Source organism: Homo sapiens, chromosome 1 (assembly GCF_000001405.40).
Source record: "Homo sapiens chromosome 1, GRCh38.p14 Primary Assembly".
NCBI lineage: Eukaryota > Metazoa > Chordata > Mammalia > Primates > Hominidae > Homo > Homo sapiens.
In genome coordinates this window covers 38,810,590-38,831,355 of record NC_000001.11, presented here as the reverse complement: position 1 = coordinate 38,831,355, position 20,766 = coordinate 38,810,590, and the positions used below count along the sequence as shown (strand labels likewise).

The 20,766-nt window shown below is 46.8% G+C and overlaps 5 annotated features.

The window, feature by feature from the left end:
- Window positions 11,825-11,992: a silencer, noted in NCBI's record as "fragment chr1:39285036-39285203 (GRCh37/hg19 assembly coordinates)". NCBI's record gives its function as "represses an EF-1alpha promoter that drives an FKBP-Casp9 reporter gene in an ReSE screen in K562 erythroleukemia cells {active_cell/tissue: K562}" and the evidence as "EXISTENCE:reporter gene assay evidence [ECO:0000049][PMID:32094911]".
- Window positions 12,883-13,112: a silencer, noted in NCBI's record as "silent region_688". NCBI's record gives its function as "represses an Ori minimal core promoter by ATAC-STARR-seq in GM12878 lymphoblastoid cells {active_cell/tissue: GM12878}" and the evidence as "EXISTENCE:reporter gene assay evidence [ECO:0000049][PMID:35858748]".
- Window positions 14,490-14,989: an enhancer, noted in NCBI's record as "H3K4me1 hESC enhancer chr1:39282039-39282538 (GRCh37/hg19 assembly coordinates)". NCBI's record gives its function as "activates a minimal SCP1, AML or CMV promoter by ChIP-STARR-seq in primed H9 embryonic stem cells {active_cell/tissue: H9 hESC(primed)}" and the evidence as "EXISTENCE:reporter gene assay evidence [ECO:0000049][PMID:30033119]".
- Window positions 14,990-15,491: an enhancer, noted in NCBI's record as "H3K4me1 hESC enhancer chr1:39281537-39282038 (GRCh37/hg19 assembly coordinates)". NCBI's record gives its function as "activates a minimal SCP1, AML or CMV promoter by ChIP-STARR-seq in primed H9 embryonic stem cells {active_cell/tissue: H9 hESC(primed)}" and the evidence as "EXISTENCE:reporter gene assay evidence [ECO:0000049][PMID:30033119]".
- Window positions 16,222-16,271: an enhancer, noted in NCBI's record as "active region_798". NCBI's record gives its function as "activates an Ori minimal core promoter by ATAC-STARR-seq in GM12878 lymphoblastoid cells {active_cell/tissue: GM12878}" and the evidence as "EXISTENCE:reporter gene assay evidence [ECO:0000049][PMID:35858748]".

The following is a 20,766-nucleotide window of genomic DNA, read 5'->3' as shown; positions in this document are numbered from 1 at the left end:
ATCATGAATATAAAACGTAATTGTCTTGTGGTCAAGTAGAACATGAAGCCAATCATTTTGGGAGGAAAAATAAGCCTAGCTCATTAGTTCCCCCCTTCTGGCCTGCCAGCTTCCTCTTCTCTGTGTGTCCGAGGGTCACTGCCCTTCGTGTCCCCTGACGGGTCCCTTCTGTAACGAGGCTTCCTCGATTCGGCATCTCCCTTCTTGATGGCATTCCTCAGTGGAGGGGAGGAAGAGTTTCCTCAACCCACTGAGGGTTCCTGGCCAGGTCTAGTAAAACAGACAAAGACAGGTTAACAGGATCAGCACCATAAGACAAGGCAAGAAAAGAAAGAAAAAAAAGACAGGTTAACAGGAGAAAAGCATAATAGATTTATTTAAAGTTTTACATGACATGGGCCGGGCGTGGTGGCTCACGCCTGTAATCCCAACACTTTGGGAGGCTGAAGGGGGTAGATCACCTGAGGTCAGGAGTTCAAGACCAGCCTGCCAACGTGGTGAAACCCCATTTCTACTAAAAATACAAAAAAATTAGCCGGGCATGATGGCGGGCGCCTGTAATCCCAGCAACTCGGGAGGCTGAGGCAGGAGAATCGCTTGAAGCCAGGAGGCAGAGGTTGCAGTGAGCCAAGATTGCACCATTGCACTCAAGCCTGGGCAACAAGAACGAAACTTCATCTCAAAAAAAGAAAAAAGGAAAGAAAATGAAATAATGTTTTACATGACACGGGAGCCTTTAGAAACGAAAACCAGAGACACAGGGAAAACTGTCCATTTTTATGCTTCAATTAGATGAAGAACGGACAGCCGTGTAGAAATGGGATTGGACACAGAGGGTAAGACCTCGTGGTAACAGACTGAAGGGGGACACCCTGCAAGGTCTGTCCAGATTCTTCTTGGCCTTTCTATGCAACATTCCTTCCTCCAGGGTATAGGGCAGGACACCTCCTGGAATGAGGGTCTTAAGACCTACTATCAGACAAGGTAGGTCAGAGAATTTCCTTATGGTTAGCTCTTACACAGAAAGGTGGGAAAATGTTAGAGTAACATTATAGATTTTATGGCTGGCTTTGGGAGAGAGGGGTTCTAGTTGCTATGACCTACCTTGGGGAAGAGGGATTCTAGTTTTTTGTTTCTTGGCTTTTTTTTTTTTTTTTTAAGACAGAGACTCGCTCTGTCACCCAGGCTGGTGTGCAGTGGCGCGATCTCAGCTCATTGCAACCTCTGCCTCCCGTGCTCAAGGGAGCCTCCCACCTCAGCCTCCTGAGTAGCTGGAACTATAGGTAGTGCCACTACGCCCAGCTAATTTTCTTTTGTATTTTTAGTAGAGACAGGGTTTTCCCATGTTGCCCAGGCTGGTCTCAAACTCCTGGGATCAAAATGCTAGGATTATGGATGTGAGCTACCATGCCCAGCCAGAATTTCAGTTTTATGGCCTGCCTTTAGGTAAAAATGGGAGCAGGAGAAAGAAGAGCAGGAGAAGATCAGAAAGAGACTTCTGAGCCCCTTTCCTTCAGTTCAAAGTATTCAGCACGTCCAGGCATCACACTTTAGGGTACTGTGTTCTGAGCCCCAACATTTTGAAGATTCCTGGCCCACATTTTGGCCCATCTAATTTCTTTTTCAATTATCCTGTATATTTAATGAAATTCTGCAAGGGCAATCACTAGGCTGAAGGGCAGAGTCTGTGTATTTGCCAGTCCTCTTTTTTATGCAGTAGGGGTGCCTGGCACAGGGCTGGCTTCATAGTATACACTCAGTACAGGCTTCACTGTGCTGGGTAAGAATGGGAAAAATGTAAACAACATGACTGGGAGACACAACTTGTGATCCGTTTAAGGCTGCTCAGGGGCAGTGGTTGCTGGGCTTGCTGTGGGTGACAGTGAGGCTGGGGTCCAAGCCAGATGCTTATTCATTCATTCAACAAATCCTTAGTGAGTGCTTGCTGGATGCAAGGCTGTGTTCTAGGTTCCCAGGATCTATCAGTGAACAAGAGAGCAAAGTCCTTGCCATTATAGTGCTGACTGAATTTCAACCTGACAAAAGTTAGGATGCAGATGGGGGAGAACGGAGTCTCAGAGAAGTGAAGTGGCTTGCCCTAAATCACGCAGCTGGTAAGCCAATGAGTGCTGACCTTCTGACTCCAAGCCCTACACATATCAACACATCAAGAGAATAAGGAGGATAAACATTAGAGGTGATTTAACAACAAATTCTGGTGTGTGTGTGACTTTACACACCTAGAATGAACAGATTGTTTATGTCAAAACGTACTATTAAATTAAACAAGAGAAACTAGGAAATATGCTTATTATGTATAATAGAGAAAGTTAATTTTTTTTTTTTGAGATGGAGTTTCACTCTCATTGCCCAGGCTAGAGTGCAATGGCACGATCTCAGCTCACTGCAACCTCCACCTCCCGGGTTCAAGTGATTTTTTTGCCTCAGCCTCCCAAGTAGCTGGGATTACAGGCACCCGCCACCATGCCTGGCTAATTTTTTGTATTTTTAGTAGAGACGGGGTTTCACCATGCTGGCCAGGCTGGTCTCAAACTCCTGACCTCATGATCCACCCACCTTGGCCTCCCAAAGTGCTGGGATTACAGGCATGAGCCACTGCGCCCAGCCTGAAAGTTAATATTTTTTATACAATTTTACAAATCAGTAAAAAATACATTCTAAAACAAAATGAGGGAAAGATATTAGTGTGTGACACGAAGTAGAAGAGGCCAAAACCATGAAAACCCATAAAACCTCACTAATAATAGAAGAAATGAACACTAAAATAATAAGCTTCCCTTTCTCTTTATCAAATGGGTATTTTTTTCAAAGGATGATATTCAATGTTGATAAGAATACAAGAACGGGATCTTTCATACATGTTTTAGCCATCAATTTTAGGATGTTCTTAAATAGATTGATTCTTGTACTTTAAAATAATATAGATTCGAAACATCTCATTACTTTTTTAAAACCATATTAACAGTGTTTTCCAATTTTTCTACAGTGAATGAATATGTATCCTTTTTATAATTAACAATATACATATATGCATTTTTAAAAATCCTTTAAAAATTGAAGGGGATAGGAGGAGGAGGTGTTTATTGGTTTTAATATGTCGTAGAAAATGGTCTTAGACTGAGAGCAGGGACCCGAGTTTATTGACTGCAGTCTGCAAAGTATCCAAGTGCCATCTTGTGCACTCTCACCTGGCCTGGCTGCAGCTCTCCGTCAGAGCCTGATCAGCTCTTCCAGTCCTCTGAGCGTGGTCTGTGCAGTTTCTGTTGTTGTTTTATTACGTGTCTATAGTGGTTCTTAACCATAGTTGCACACTAGAACCACTTGGGGTGAGTATAAAAAAAAATAGTGATACCAGGCCCATCCCAAACTATAGCCATGTGCCGCTTAGTGACAGGGATACATTCGGAGAAATGTGATGTTAGGCAATTTCAGCACTGTGTGAACATCACAGGATGTGCTTGCACAAACCGAAATGGTACAGCTTCCTACATACCTAGGCTATAGGGGGTAGCCTATTGCTCCTAGGCTACAAACCTGTACAGCATGTTACTTACTGAATACTGTAGGCAATTACAACACAATGGTTAAGTATTTGCGTATCTAAACATAGAAAAGGTACAGTAAAAATAAAATCATATGGTACCACTGTAGTATGTGTGGTCCATGGTTGAGCAAATTGTCATTATGTGGTGCATGATTATAAGTAAATAAGGCTGTTCCCATGTGGCTTAATGTCAGTTAGTGTTGAGAACCACCAGCTTCTAGGCTGGATCAAACTACCTCTAGCTACTCTGTGTGCCTACGCCTAGGTCATGTGACATATTGCAGGCTTGTTCAATTGACTTAAATAGGTTTGGTTTCTCAGCTCCTCAAGCACGAAGAATTATTTTTGCTGCTGCTTTTTGTGTGTGTGTGTGCTAACCCAAAGTGTCAAAGAGAGACACACAAGAGGTGAAGAGGTGGCAGATGTATAGCTGTTTGTCAGTACATTGTTCTTCTTTCTTCTAAATTCCTGGGTTGTGACAGCTCAAAGTATCTGTGGTTAGTACAAATTTAAATTTAGTTATTGTTAAAATTTCAAAGCCAAATGAATTTTGATTCATTGGTTAAACAGAGAAATATGTTGCATTACACTATCTGACAGAAGCAATAATTAGTCACCATAGGTTATAGTATTTAACCATCCCTGGCACTCTGTAGGTACCCAATAAATAGAGGAATGAATGAATGAATGAATGAATGACAAAATGGAAATTGGGACAGGACAGCATCTCTCACTTTATACTTGCCTCTTATAGGGGTCTCTAGCTACTTCAACTACTTTCCATTCTACCTTTCACCACTAAAATTTTATTTGAGACTTAGATTGAATATCACTGTTTTGGTGATGCTCTATTCAAAACAACTTCCAAGTATGAAATAATCTTCAAAGTAAACCAGTTTATGGGCTGGGACAATGTTCAACCACTGTCACTGCAGAAATTGGGCACCTGTAGATGGTCTGTCACTTCCTCACAGTGGCTTAATGCGAGCATTTACTCTCATATAAAGTCCCCTCTTTCTTTCTCCTCTGACTGCAGACCCTAAAACACAGGTATGAGCCTAACCTCACTTCTCCTGTTGCATCTGCTCTGGAGGCAGGCATGGTTCTGTGAAAGCAAATGTCACTGCAGCAGCCATAATTTAAGAAGTCCTTTTAAAAAATTCCAATTTCATCATTTCACAGAAGAATAGATCAATATTTCTACAGTTAAGAGTTTAGTTAAAAACCCTGCTGTGCAATGAAATAATGCATCTGCTATTGGCGTAGAGCGACTGGGATGTTAATTCCCTGGTTTTGTGTCAGTTAAGGGCAAATTAGCCTTCCAGCACCAGTCATGACTCATTATGTCATTATGTAGAAGGCACTTACTGTACCTCCACTACTATGCAATTTAGATCCAATAAAAATTGTGACAGCGTTTTTATCCACTTCATTAAGCTACTAATTTCTTGTAAAAAATGTACATTAATCTTTTTATAGCTTCATGCAGAGTGGCATATTTTTAGACTCTAACATTGATTAGGTCCTGGTTAAGAATAATTTTCACAGTACTTTTAAGAAATGTAAATAAAGTTACAATAATTTAATTTTTCAACATAGTTATGACAGTATTGATCTTAAAATGAACATGTTGGCTGAATTAAATGTGTAGCCCAAATGAAATACAGACTGAATATTTAAACATGCAACAAATTACAAAGCACGGCTTAACAATACCCTGCAAACAGAATGAAGAAAGGGAGCATGAACCTTCATGGAAAATATCAATTGCTCATATTTTAAAAGAGGTAAATGGGGATTTTTTTGACATCTGACTTTCCCTACCCAAATGTTTAAAAAATACAGCAAAAAATAGTTTTCCCCTTTTGATTTTTCATTGCTTGTGAAGTATTAATGACTCTTCCGCCTGAATGACTTAGGAAAAAGTAGAAAAGAAGAAAGTTCCCTCTGCCAGCTAATTGTGATATTAGTGGGTCGGAGTCAGAGAAGACAGTGCCCAGGGTTTTCAGAGGGCACCGTGGGCGGTTGAGGGCAGAGTGTTGGCACCTGTGTACTCAGTGACAGAAGCTGCCCCCTTCACTCTAACCCTTCATCAACCCAGAGCTTTTGGAACAGGGCTGAGGAAGCCATGAGTCACGTCCTCATTGGCCGTAAAGGTGAGCTCTAGATGCTGGCTGGCATTTCACGCAATTACTCAGGCTTCCCATTAGATCTTGACCTGCCTCGCTGGACCTTGTCTCCTTGCTCTGGACTCTTTGAGTTGTGCTCTGACTTTGATCCCCTCTGGCAGTTGGTGTCTTTTGCTTTCCCAGGTGAACGAACCCTAGCTCTGTCTTGGCCTCCAAACCTACCCGGTTCTAGCCCCTCCACAAGTATCTACCGCATCAGCCCCAACGGGCATGCAGGGAGCTAGAGACCATGAATGATTAGGCTTTATCATAGGAGACACACAGAGTGTGAACAGAACCATGTTGGAGTCAAAGACTTAGATTCTTCCAGACAATATCTATGTCCCCTCTCCAAGCCTGTCTCTATCTCCCATTAGAAGGCTTTGTGCTGGATGATTGAAAAAAGTTCTAGGATACGAAGACCCCCTTCTCACTGCAGGAATTCCTCCCTGGAACAACCCAACAGGCTGTGCGTGGATCCTCATTTCCTTGTATTTTTTGAATGTATGGAGCCCTGTATCTTTCCAGAAGGGATTAAAGTGGAGGTAGAGAAGAGTTTCCTGCCTTATAGCATCTTCACTTCCACAGAGTCAGTGCAAGTCAGAGCTGTTCAAAGTGCTGTGAGCAGCCAGCTATGTCTCAGTACAAAAGATTCTGCAGCTGATGTTAAGAGTAATAATGATCTCCTTATCAATGTCCAGGTCCCTGACTCTAGAAGTGTGGTTGTCCACCAGCAGGATTATATGGGACCAAAGGCCTATTCTTAGCCCATAGCCCAAGCAGCATCTCTCCAGTCCCTGGGTGCTCCCTAAAGAGCCCATAGCAGCTGGAAACACCCTCTCTGCTTTGTAGCTGTCCCAGAGCGTGGGCTCAAATACAGCCTGCTTCCCTGGCATTTCTCAAAAGCCATTCCTTTTTGCAGTTGCTGCTGCTGCTTCCCAGATGTTAACTGCTGTGCCATCCTGTTCCTGATAGTAAAGCTCATTTTGATTGCCTTTTCCATTTGTACAGTTTCATTTACTCATTAGGAAGAGCAGTCTCAGCCTTTACCTCTGAGAGCGTCACCACCACTCTGTGAGGCAGGCAGATGACCCAGAGAGGCAAAGTGACAAACTCAAGGTCACACAACTGCTCTGCAGCGAGCAGTAGAGCCAGAAGTTAACATCCCGTGTTCAGTATATCAGAGATTCCAAAATGCCTTTGGTCATGGAACAGAATCATGGTTAAGAGCTTGGGCACTGGAGTTAAGGTAGATTTGGACTCAAACTCCAGCTCTTCCACTTACTAAATTCCTTAGCTCGAGTGCATTACCCAGTTTCTCTGACCCTCTGCTTCATCTTATCATCTTTACCAATGGGGAAAAATGCTTTTTAACCTCGCATGTTTATGCTGAGGAATTTTCTTTTTTTTTTTTTTTTGTTTTTTTTGAGATGGAGTCTTGCTCTGTAGCCCAGGCTGGAGTGCAGTGGCACCATCTCGGCTCATTGTGACCTCCGCCTCCCAGGTCCCAGTTCAAGCAATTCTCCTGTCTTAGCCTCCTGAGTAGCTGGGATTACAGGCACACGCCACCATGCCCAGCTAATTTTTTTTTTTTTTTTTTTTTTTTTAGTAGAGATGGGGTTTCACCATGTTGGCCAGGCTGGTCTTGAACTCCTGACCTCGTGATCCACCTGCCTCGGCCTCCCAAAGTGCTGGGATTACAGGCGTGAGCCACCGCACCCGGCCTGATTTTTTTTTTTTTTTTTTTTTTTTTAAGCAGAGTCTCACTGTCACCCAGGCTGGAGTGCAATGGCACAATCTCGGCTCACTGCGACCTCCGCCTCCTAGGTTCAAGCTATTCTCCTGGCTCAGCCTCCCAAGTAGCTGGGATTACAGGTGCCCGCCACCATGCCTGGCTAATTTTTGTATTTTTAATAGAGACGGGGTTTCACCATGGTGGCCAGGCTGATCTCCAACTCGAGACCTCAAGTGATCCACCCACCTAGGCCCCCCAAAGTGCTAGGATTACAGGTGAGAAGCCACCACGCCTGTCCAGTGGTGAGGATTAAATGAGATAAAATGTGAGTCACCCAGCTTCATACCTGGTACATATCAAACCCAATAAATGGTAGCTATTATTATTTTTATTATTATTACCATGAATTCATTTGACTCTCACAGTAACCCCATGTGGCAGGTACTCACTTATTCACATGTGGACACTTATAATCATAATAGTTAAAATTGACAGAAGGGAAGGATGAGGCTTGGCATGGTTTGTTAGGATCTCCCTGAAACCTGCTCCTGTATTTCTTTCTGCCTTTGCCCAGCACCACTTTGTCAAGCTCCAGACCCATGAGGCTCCTGCCTTTTTCTTTTATTGCACATGCCCAGGCTCAGCAATGCTGGGCCTCATGCCTGGGTGACCTCCGGCTCTCAGGCCACATGCCTGACACTGATGCAGTGGCCCGAAAGCAGGATCCAGCCCAGAGGAGGAGCTGAGCTGTGCCCCAAGCGCCCAGCCTCTCTCTCTCCAGGAAGAACTAGTGTTCTGGGGTCACATAATTACTCCCCACAGAAAGCTCTTTCAACTTAAGTATAGGGTTCTGCATGTGACGCTGTCTGCAAGGCAACCCTGGGTACTGGCAGGAGGTTAAGTTCTGTTTCTCTTCAAAACAATGATTCCTCTGAGGTTTATACAAATACTCAATCAGTTTCCTATTATGACATTGTGAAGGAGAAGTTGGTTGCATCTTTGTAATTAGGACTTGAAGAGAAGTCAATGACAGTGAATAAATTAGACTTAGATGCTTTTCACCCGCCCTGTCCTTTTTTTCCCTTATCCCTTAGCATTCTCTCAGGGTGGGCCTGCTGCTCTGAATTCGCAGGCAGGCCTGGCCCCCTCATGCCATTAGGTGAAGAAGGAGGAGGCTGTGGGCTGCCCCCTCCCACCAGGCTGGGAAGCCCCAGAGCTTGGGTTTGCAGGCTCCTTTGCCAGATGGTATTTGATACGAATATTGATGTTAATGGCGTTTGGATAATGACACTGTCTGTGGCAGGGGCTTTATTACTGTTATGAACGGCATGGTCCTGGAGGGAACCATTCTGTTTAGTTACCTTTGTGTGTATGTTGCAAATGTTTAACAGATAATTATCAAGAGGCAGTGTTCTAGGGGATTTGGGTTATTCCTGGATTCCCAGGCAGGTCCTGAAATCAGTGCATGTCACAGAGCGGTGGTGCGTGCCTTGTTGGAGTCAGTGGAACTGCCTGAGATGATTCCCTTCCCTGCCTGCAGAGCGTGGTTACCCCAACCTTTCCTGCCTGTCCTTCCACAAGACATTCCCATTCTCGGAGGGTCTGCTTTGTTGCAACCTCTCCATAACCAGATACATCAAAACCTACCTTTTACACTTCCTGGGGGAGTTTGAGCTTCTTCCTATGAAAAATGAATAATAAAATCCTCCGCTTTCATCCTAATGGGGTTAGTAGGAGGTGTTCAGCTTTTTATAGCTACCTAGATGATCGAAAGAGGCAGATGAAGCCATCACAAAATTAAGGAAGAGGTCATCATTAGAAGACCAGAGACCAGAGTCTTTTAAAAGCATTTCTGGTCTTAATTCAAAGTGCCTCTCTGGAGAGCTTTAGCAAGCTGAGCCCTTGGGTTTTCTCTGTTGGAACCAAAGCTTTGGTAAGGTGAGGGCTATAGCAGGCTTCTCTGCAAGGCCTGTGGAAGGACCAGTCCCTTCAGAGCAAATATGACATTTTCAAGATGGATTATCTGGTAGATACTTAGGCCTGTTTCCCTACGTCAGGCAAAAGCCTTCTGCCCTTGTGAGAAATGAATAAATGAATGAATGGGACCTCAGGTGTTTTCGTAGCCCTGCAAAATGGCTTCAGAGGTTGGGCTGGCAATTGCTGCGGACCAAATGCTCCTGGGATCTCAGCGATCAGGCAAAGTGGGAAAGCAGGAGGCCTAGCTGAACTCCTGGAAACAGCATACAAATGGATTGTTGTGTGTGCTCCTGGCTTGGACAGCGCAGCTCTAAATCTGAATACAAAACAGAGAAGATGCTCTTTTGCTCCTTTCAGACTAATGATTTTGTCCTTTTTCCCTCTCCTCCTCATTTTATTTCTTCATCTATAACATCTGCAAGAGGGCAGCCAGACTAATAAAACTGCGCTAAGCTCCTCTAATGCCAGCCATTGATCCAAGGGTGGGACCCGATTAATCAATGGGATTTTAGCGGTGTTCACATCCCCGAGGGACATCAGGCCCAAAGACATTTCTTGTCTCCGCAGAGGGGAGGAATCTGAGAACTGATGGAGTGATTCTCTAGCTGTAGATTCTGGAGGTGGTGAAAGGCAGGGTGCCAGCCCCCAGAAACAGTCTGTGGCAGTATCAGAGGGCCACCTTGGGTGTTTGATGGCTTTGCTTTGGGGATGTTCACTTGTTCTGGCAGTGACATCACTGCAAGATGTGTGGGATCCGAGGCACCTGTCACATGACCACAGACCTGAGAAGTCATCTCCTGTAACCCCTGCCATTGTGCAGTAGAGGAAACTGAGGCCCAGAGAGGGAAGGTCATACAATGAATTAGTAATACTGTAGAACTAGAGTGCAAGTCTCCTGGGCTCAGCTTTTTGCCTTCCCAGTGTCTGTAAGGCTGAGTCAGGATCAGAACCTGTTGCAACCATCAAATGGTTGATACAAGCAGTGATAGAGAATTCAGGCAAGATACAGACACCCAAACTGAAGAATTCAGTTTGAGAAAATTATAATGCATTTTAAAAATAGGCTGGATGTTCTTTTTCTTCCTTTATCTTTTTATTAACATTTTTAAAATTTGGGGCTATTACATATGTAAAAGTGCATAAAACATAGATACAATCTGACAAATAATTTATAAGCAAATACCTTTGTAACCACCACCCAGGTCAAAAATGGAGTATTGCCAGCCTCACAGAAACCCACCATATGAGCTAAGAGTCCTTTATCTCAACACTCTCTCTCCTAGAAGTGATCATGATCTTAATTTTTGTGATGATCATTTCCTTGCCTTTCTTCATAATTTTACACCCAAATAGCATATTACTGCCTGCTTTAAACTTTATGTAAATAGAGTCATACTGTGTGTGCTCTTTTGTGTCTTATTTCTTTGATCCAACATTGTGAGATTCCAACACTGTGAATTATTTTAAAGAAATCTACTAGAACACTGCCCTGTGAAGTAAAGTGTGATCCTTAACATAGCTCAGCCTAGGGTATGGGTATTGCAACAAGGGTACCCCAAAGAGGTTGTTTTTGGACTTTGTTCCTGGTTGCTCTGACCAAATATCACTTTTTTTTTTTTTAAGCTTCAGGGACCTGATTGTTTCATGAATTCCCTCAAAATATACACTAATTTAAGGGACATATAATTGTGTGTGTGGAGGTGGTGGGAGGTCCAAGGGGCAAGGGGTGGCAATCCCAGAATTCCTTACTTTGCAAAGGAGGCACCTGACTCAGGTTGTGAGCCCACTGGGAGCAGGAGTTGTTTTATCTGTCTTAAATCCCCAAGGCCCAGGATGGAGTCAGTCTATAGGCGGAGATCAATAAACATTTGTCCAGTGAACACAAGAATAAAGGTCACTCAGCTTAGGCCTCCGCGGGACGCCTGAATTTCCTCCACAGTACAATCTATGACTGTTTCCTTGGTGGTCTGATGGAGGCCCACCAAATGCAAAAAATCAGCTTGCTGGTAGAGGTAGGAACCTTGATCATCCTTGATACATTTGTGTCTTACATTCAAAAAGACCTTAGGAAGGTCAGTATTAACCAGACGTGCTATTTCTCTAGAAACTATATAAAGGGAGTGTGGGAAAGAGAAGCTTTTATTGAAAACAAACAAAGCCTGCAATGTGCTTTTGCAGGGAGTTGTGGGAGAGCTGGGTAGGGCCACTCCAGGTCTCCTGGCCCTGAGGTGGAGGCCCTGTGACCACGGAAGCTTCTCTAGGTAGCTCTGAGCCCACTTCTGGGGTCTCTTGCATGCCTCCTGTCAACTCAGGAGAGGCAGCTGAAAACTGAGCCATCTCTGCTGCTCTGGTCAGCTGGACAGGCTGCATAGTTTGAAGGAAAGTCCTTGTTTTCTACCTCCTCCTGCCTAAGATCAGTGACCCGCCCCCCCCGGGCTCCCACCTTCCCCAGCCAGGTCAGGCATCAGAGAGCTACCATGGCAGCCACAGATGCAAATGCATATTGCTTGAATTATTTATTTTATTATTTTTTTAAAGCTCACCCTTTAATGAAATACCTTAAATATGTAGGGTAGTCAAGACTCACAAGAGAAGGCTAGACTCGATCCCTTCAGCGCCCCTTCAGCGCCCCTTCAGGCTCTCAGAACTTTGATGGAAAACATCCCGGAAGCTAAAAAACTGTATTTACCTTCCCCAGCCCCACCCCTACCCCTATCCCGGACACTGTAATTTAGAAGCACGCGTTTATTTGTAGGATTATTCATCGAGTCAATCTTCCCCACCAGATGTGATTCTCACGATTGTTTTTTGACTGCCAATGGTCAGCTAAGGGTTTAGTAGGTATTTGGCGATGGGGAAGCATTGGTTGCATGCATGATGGGTGAATGCTGAGGGGTCTGACTCGGCTGTGGATGGAAGGAAAAAGACCTCCTCCACCACCACCCGGGTCTCAGTGAAGGACGGGTTGGGAGCGCTCCAACAAGAACCACTGCCTGTCCCCCAGCCCGGACCCGCGGCCAGGGAGGAGGCCCCGGGGAGCCCTGGAAGGCGCCGCGGGGAGGCCTGCCTTCCTGGAAAGCCACGCTTGGAGCTGTCTTCAAAAGCGGCGACGCAGCCCCCGGCGTTTGAGCACGAATAAATCATTAGCATTTTATTTACAATTCTGGGTTTACAATTCCTGGAAAAGGATCCTGCTGTTCAGTGCGGATTCCTGCTTTGCAGGATTTCCCCAGCGCCTCCTTCCACCTCTCGTCTAGGGGGACTGGGTTCCTTAAGACTTCCCTGGACGGGAGTGCGGTGCGGAGTGGATGGGGCGGGTGGTCTCGGGAAGGAGGGGGCGCCGTCCCTCGGTCCTGCGTTTCCCGACGACCCCGAGCAGAGGAGTTGTATCCTCTCGGTTTTACCGAGAAAGGACGGTTGATCAAAGAGGGCTGGGCGTGCCCAGGGTCACACAGCTCGCTCTGAAGCTTGCGCCTAAGTCCCGGGTCTGGGAACCCCGCCGCGCAGCCGCGGACCCGGGAGCCCCCAGCGCTCGGCCCGGCTCCGGTCCCCGACGGCGCCCCGCGTGGCCGCTAGATGGCAGCCTTGGTCTCCGAGGCGGGCGGGCGGCCGCCCACCCAGGGTCCGGAGGGGCCAGCGCGCCGCTCCGCGGAAGGCGCTGTCGCTGGCACCCTAGCCCACGCTTCCGGGGCCCCAGTGACCAAAGCAAGGAAAGAGTTCCAGAAAGCAGCCCAGGCTCCCCTGTCCGGAACGGAGCGGGGGCTTGCTCCGGGCTTACCCGGAGCGGGGTCCGAGGCGTGGCGCTCTGGGCTCCGTGTTGGGGTAGGCTCCGCCGGGCGGGGGCGCCTTCAGCCCCTCTTGGGCAATGCCGGCCGCGCGCACAGGGCCCGGGGACGGTCGGGGCGAGACCGCGTGGGGTGAAATCCGCGGCAGGAGGCCGCCTGACTGTGTCCTGATCCGGTCCCTTTAGACGTGACCCATGGTCAAGCCTTCTACCTATCTCCCCTCTCCTGCTCCAGACCTAGGCATGTGGAGTCTCTCCCTAGCTGGGAGAGGCCGCGGGCCGGTCCCTGCCTGCCTCAGCCCCAGCGACCTCCACCCAGAACCCACAATGGCAGGTGGAGGCACCCGCCCATCCCCGCGGCGGCACCTGTGGGCGAGCAGAGATTGGCATGTCTCGGAGGTTGGCACACGGATGATTTGGGCCTCATCGGAGAGAGACATCTGTGTGGGCAGAGGAGGTGGTGGTGCTGGGCAAACCGTGCCTTCCCTACATCAGAGGGGAGGTGGGACTCAGGGGACTGGGATCAGTCCTGTTGTCTCTGGAGTGTGCACCGATATGAATTCATAGGTTCGTTTCATTGGCCCCTTTCTTTGGGCCTCAGAGTGGTAGGTTCTCTGCCTTTAAGGTCTGACATTACAGTGCTGGGATCTGCCTGACGTGCAGGGGAGGTCTACAAAGGACCCTCTCACCTCCCTTCTCTATTCATGCTTCTTCTCTGGATGTGGCTTCTTTCTTTTCTAGGAGGAAGGGGCTCAATTTTGTGAATTTGACCTGGCCTACAGGTCATCTTTGTGCACTGGGCAGCAACAGACCTGAACTGTGCTTCAGATTCTGAGAAATTGGACTTTGTCTTGGCCCTTGGAGGTGGGGACACTGAGGCCTAGAGGGGGAAGGCCTTTGCCAAGGTCACTTGGGGCATCCAGCTTTCCCAGTCCAGGACTCTTGTTGCTGCCAGGCCTTCTCAAAAGACATCCTCTAGATCCCAAAGTCCTTGCAAAGTTCTATACTTTGCATTGCTTTTGAAAATCATCTGAAGCTTTGTCCGAGTGCATGGGCCATTAGGTCCTAGGAGTAGAGTTGGGCACTGAAGGGTGTTGTTCCTCAGGATGGCTCTCCAGGCCTTGTCTTCCCCGGTCTGGGCCGTACAGGTCAGGTCAGATGAAGGCAGTTGGGGACTGGTGGTGTGAACATCCCTTGATCCCATCAGTAGCCCCCTGGGAAAGCCACGTAGTACAAGGATGTGAGTGGAATTGGTATCTGCCACATGTCCCTCTGTTAAGATCACAATTTCCATGACAGAGTCGCTCTCTAATGGAGCCTGTCAACTCGGCTTAGGCCCCAGTGGCTCAGAGCACACTTCCACGAGAGAGGCGGTGTGGGATCTGAGGCATTAACTGTGCCTTGTACTGGGAGGAGGCATAGGGCGGCAGAATACCTTTTCGAAGTCCCCTTGGAAACCAGTACCCGGCACCTATCATGCCTGCCATCTAATTACCCGGTAATTATTCCACACAGCCATGCAATTGGCCAGGGTCGCAGGGAGCCCACCAACAGCCCAAGGGGGAAGGTGGCTCTCTCTAGGGGCCTGCAGCTCCAGCTCTGGGCGAACAAGCCGCCTCTGAAGCCGCTGGAGAAGTACCCCTTTGACAGCACGCAAGGGCCTAGAGCAGCCGTCTTTATTGGCAGCCGGAGAGGCTGTTTGGGGAAATGGAAAAACTTGTGTCGGCGGCGTCAGTCTTGTAAAGGGGTAGCCAAGCAGTTTGCAGCGTGTTCTGTTCCTCGCGCTGCTGCCACCGCCTCGGCTCCTCAGAGCCTGCCGGGGAGGAGCGAGGGGGAGGAGGTGACCGAGTTCACGTCCCCACCGCTGCCTCTCCTGGAGTGATGGATGGCTGTCTGCTCAGGCGGGGGAGCGCCTGCACAGCTCTGCAGGGTGCGCGCTCAGACTCCCACACCTGGCGCAGAGGCTTCAGCAAACTCCCATGTCCCCCAGTGCTCGGAGAGTATGAGCTCTGGGTCAGTTAGCCTGGCTGGTTATTTCGGGTTAATGAGACCGTCCTTTTCAGTTTCACCCCGATCTGTGACAATCTCGCACAAACATCTGTCGCCTCCTCTGGGCTCCGCTCCGCCCTTTTACCGCAAACCCAAGCGTGTCTCCCTGAGGCTTAGGAGGTACCAGGATTCACCCGAGTCTTCTGAGGGTGGCACTTGGGTTAGGGAACAATTTACTCATGACGAAGACAGAGATCAGAGGGTAGGTATTGGGTCATTTCTTCTTTAAAAGATGTTACATTTTAGAATTCCATTAATTGAGGGCTGTAGTTAATCCGTTAAGTACGGGAATAAGGTTCTATTTTGTCTTTCTTTTCTTTCTACTCCAAAATGTTCTCAGTAAGTGTTCCGTAGCTGGGAATTCTGCAATCAAAACCTGGGTGTGGGGAGTGAGGGTTGGGGAGGAGAACCCCCCTGCCCCCACCAGAAGGGGCCTTGATTTTGCAGTTTGCCTCATGTCAGGGGATCATTGAGTTTAGTTCTTGATGAAAACCAAGTCTCAGCTGTGACTTCAGTGCAGGACTTGTGGATGCTTCTGCTTCTGGGGGCCAAGGTGCTTAAAAATGACCTCACCAACAATAACGATGATGAAAATAATAATGTGCAGCAGTTTACATTTTTCTTGGGCACCTAGTATGTGTCAGATACTGTGTACTTTATCTCTATTATTTCGTTTAATCTTCAGATCAGTCTTGTAAAATAGGTGTTACTGTTATTCCCATTTTACAGTGGAAGAAACTGAGGGTCAGAGAGATTAATTAACTTGCTGAAGTGACACAGCTGGAAAGAGACAGAGGCAGAACTCAGCCCAAGTCCTTTTGATTCAAAGCCTTGCACTTAATTGGTCTGCTCTATTGCTACAGAAACCTACAGTTATCTTGTTGAAAAGCATATTTGTAGTTTGGGGAAACACCCTTTAAAACTCTGTTACAGTTTTACAATGAGTTGATGTTTGGTTTGGTTTTGCTGCTTCTTTCTCTCTCTCTCTCTTTTTTTTCTAAAACAGAGAAAAACAAAAACAAAACCCCCAAATCTTTTGCTATCCAATGGGTCAGTTAGCTTACATCAGCCAGATCAGAGGAGGAAGAAACTGCTGAGTTTTCATTGCTGACTCACGTGAAAAAGAAGTTGCGTTGGAATTATTTGCCTTAAAAATTATTCATTAATTTAACCAATATTTGATACACTTGCTGTGAAGCCATCTTGAGTATCTTCCTTATGTTTCTGTGCCTTGTTTCTGGTGTGCCCCGGAGTCCAGATGGACCTGGAGAAGTCTGGAGTCCTCCCTTGGTACTCAACCACACTTGCTTGTCAGCTTCCATAAGGATGGAAAGAGGGGTACCTGATGAGAAACCCTTACACAGGCTGTTCAGCCGAGTCGGCTGCGAGTTGGCTCAGAGCCAGAGAGTGTGAGAAACTTTCAAATTTCAAAACTGCCCTGGGCCAATTTAATAAACTTCTGCCACCTCCATCCTCTCCACATTTTTGAATTCTCAAATATTCACTCCCATCTAAGACACGTACAAGAGTGGAAGGATTTTGGAATGTTAATAATGCAGAATTTTACAGTACAGCAAGGTGAATTCTCAAGGGGTGATGGTTAACATCTGCTTTCTCTTTTCCCAAGATAACAATAGGGAAACCTGTGTGCATATGCACACACCAAGCCAGGATTGTGAGGGCTGAGTCTGTCTCTCTGTCTTTCTCTCTCACTCTCTCAGCAAAGAGATACATTGTTCGCAGATCTGGCACTAGGCACAATCACCAGAAAACTTGGATGAAGCAGGCGTGACAGTGATAGGGAAAAAAAACCAAAGCCAGTCTCTCGGGGGCACTTTCTGCACTGTGAACAAGACCTTTTCTTCCGGGGAGCCTGAAAGATGGCACGAAGCACTCTCCTTCCTCCCAGTCGGGCACATTCTTAGCAATCAGCAACAGAGCTGTGGTTCTGACATGTCCCCTGGCAAGCGGCAGGAGGCTTTCTATCAGAAGGAGGCAAACGGAAGGGGCTGTCTCAGGTTCTAGGTGCAGGCTCTGGAGCACCCAGGGAGTCTCAGGCTTGTCCTCTTTGGGGGTGTCTGTGTTTCCACCATCGTAGCTGCTCTCCAGGGTAAAGGGTAGTGGCTCCCAGTGAGCTCCAGAAGCAGAGGAACCTGGGTCCCAGTCCCAGATCTGCTGGAGGGAACCCCGGTAAATTACCTCTCCCATCCTTAGTCTTCTCGTATATAAAATGGAGAGAATAATACTGGCCTTGTGGGTTGCTTAGCACAGAGTCTGACTCAATACACGATAACACTTTCAAAAAACCACACATAAATGGCTATAGTCCACACTTGTTTTCTAAGGCCTGTTTCATGCCCTTCAAGCTGCGCATCTTAGGGAATAAATTATTCTGTGACTTGGAACCAGGTGACCCGGAATCTAATTTTTGACCTAGCCCAGCCCTGTAGATTCACTTAAATAGGCCTATGGAAAATGATCCAGATTCAAATCTCAGAGCAGCAAAGACATCCTTTTAAGGGAATCTCTTGGTTAGTTCTCCGGTAAAAAATGACCCAGAAGTTATTTTTAAAAGTGAAAGGTGCCAACCTTATGTTTGCAGCCACCCAGAGATTTTTATCATGGGTTTTTTTTTTTGCTGAAACAAATGCTCCTCTGTGTTGCAGCAATGTCTTCAGTGCAGAGAAATGTGAGGAAATGGCCAGGCCTCACTGTATATATAGATGCCGTCCTAGCTGAATATTGGAAGCCCTGAACCAGTGCACTGGCTTCTCTCTTTCGTGTGCATAATGCAATTTAAATCCCTTGTTAATTTCCAGGTCGAGTTTCATTCATGAGGATAATCTTTAATTGATGTTAAATATAGGGATCAAGTTAAGTGCATTATTTCTTTTTTACAAAGTGCTAATTGTTCATGTTCTCATAAATTATTTTCTCTTCTCATGTAGCAGATTTTATGAAAGAACTTTTCAGCCAGTGCTTTTAACCTCATTGTATGAATATTATCCTGTAATCAGCAGGTCGTTCAGATCCTTCCTGTGCTGATGATCTCCATGTCACCCTTCAGAGCAGTAAGGAGAAGAAAAATGAGCTCGCTTGCTTTGAGTGTATGTATATAGGGGTAGTCTCACAGTTGTTAAAAACAATATTTATTCCTGGCCAACATGGTGAAACCCGTCTCTACTAAAAACACAAACATTAGCTGGGCGTGGTGGCATGTGCCTGTAATCCTAGCTACTCGGGAGGCTGAGGCAGGAGAATCGCTTGAACCTGGGAGGTGGAGAGTGCAGTGAGCCGAGATCACGCTACTGCACTCCAGCCTGGCCACAGAACGAGACTCTGTCTCAAAAACAAACAAACAAACAAACAAACGAAAACAAACAAACAATATTTATATCCAAATATTTTAAAACCTTAAGCATATTTTTTCTCAGCTGCTTCTGTTCCTGCTAAGACCCTTGAGGGGTTCAGCCTGAAACTAGTTTTTTGTAAAGGTTCATTAGTGTTAAGTATATTTGCATTGTTGTGCAACTCTCACCACCAACCATCTCCAGGACTCTTCATCTTGCAAAACTGAAGCTCTGCACCCATTCGACAGCTCCCCATTTCTACCTCCCCACAAGCCCTGGCAACCACCATTCTACTTTCTATGAATTTGACTACTAATTTGGTACTTCATATAAGTGGAATCACACAGTACTTGTCTGTTCATGACTGACATTTCAAGGTCACACATGGGCTTGTAGGATGAATGTGGGGTTTTATCGAGTGGTGGAGGTGGCTCTCAGTGGGATGGATGGGGAGCCAGAAGTGGGGATGGAGTGGGAAGATGATCTTCCCCTGGACCCTGGCCATCCAGCGGCCGAACTCCTCCCTGACCACCTTCAGTCAAACTCCTCTCAGCATGTCCTCAAGTTTCACCCATGTTGTGGCATGTGTCAGAATTGCTTTCCTTTTAAAAGATGAATAATATTCCCTTGTATGTATAGACCACACTTTGTTTATCCATTCGTCTGTGGATGGGCAGTTGGGTTGCTTCCATCTTTTGCCTATTATGAATAATGCTGCTGTGAACATTTGTGTACGGTCTGAAATCAAAAGGGGGAGTTCCCTGACTCCCCTTGCAGGACATGCGACAGGGGTGTGGCTCACCTGTTTGGTCACCAGTGGCTGCTCAAACCCCTGAGGGGAGGGGGAGCACGCAGACAGACAGGTGCAGGAGCCCAAGTGGGCATGTGTTACAGTGTGCCCTTTTAGCCCTGCCATGGATGGCTTGAGTGTTAACCAGCTCAGTGGACCGTCTGCCTTTTTGCAAGGGCAGAGGGCTGTGTGACAGCTTTCTGTATCCCAAGCTCTTGCCCAGAGGACCCAGAAGAATTAGGTCACACATGGGCTTGTAGGATGAATGTGGGGTTTTATTGAGTGGTGGAGGTGGCTCTCAGTGGGATGGATGGGGAGCCAGAAGTGGGGATGGAGTGGGAAGATGATCTTCCCCTGGACCCTGGCCATCCAGCGGCCGAACTCCTCCCTGACCACCTTCAGTCAAACTCCTCTCAGCATTCAGGCATTCCTTCTCTTCTCTCTTTCCCTGCTGTATCGTTCCACCATTCATCTGCTTGTCTCCTCGTATTTTTGTCTGCCCGTCTGCTTCTGGAGCAGGTGGGATAAACCTTGAACTGGATTTAACCTCGAACAGGTATGGGATAGGGTGTGTGGTGGGCCAAAAGGCAACTTTTTGGGTACAAAAACAGGACTGCCTGTCCCCATTTAGGGATGAGGGTCTCCAGGGTTAAGGGTGGGGCCTTTCCTGGGGAACCACCCTCTTCTACCCTGTGTTTTCCTGTCTCCTGTCTGTATCAAAATGACTTTTGATTATTTATTCTAAAATGCTTAGCCATGCTGAGAACAGACCCTGTGCTGAGCTTCTGTAAGGAGATGAGAAGGAAGCTTTTTCTGCCCTCTGGGAGCTTGCATAAAAAGAAAGATAACAGAGGGCCAGGCACAGAGGCTCACATCTGTAGTCCCAGCTACTCAGGAGGCAGAGGTGTGAGGATCGCTTGAGCCCAGGAGCTGGGGGCTGCAATGAGCCATGATTGTGCCACTGGACTCCAACCTGGGTGACAGAGCAAGACCCTGTCACACACACACAAAAGAAAAATTTTAAATGCATCGTTCTATTTAATCTTTTCTAAAACCTCTGAAGGAGACGCTGTGTTATTCCCATTTACACCTGAGTAAAGTGAAGTTCAGAACTGTTAAGTCACTTGCCCCAGATTATCACAGTCAGGGCAACTTGGATTTGAACCTCAGTCTACTTGATTCAAAACCTGTACCCTTAACCCAAACAATACAATACAGTGCCTCTTGCAAGGACACAAAACCCCATAAAAACAATGGTAGGGAGCTGTGTCCCCTGGGAGAGTCACAGGTATTGTGCTAGGAGGGTTCAGAGGAGGATGAGATGGCTTTCTTCTTGGGATCAGAGATG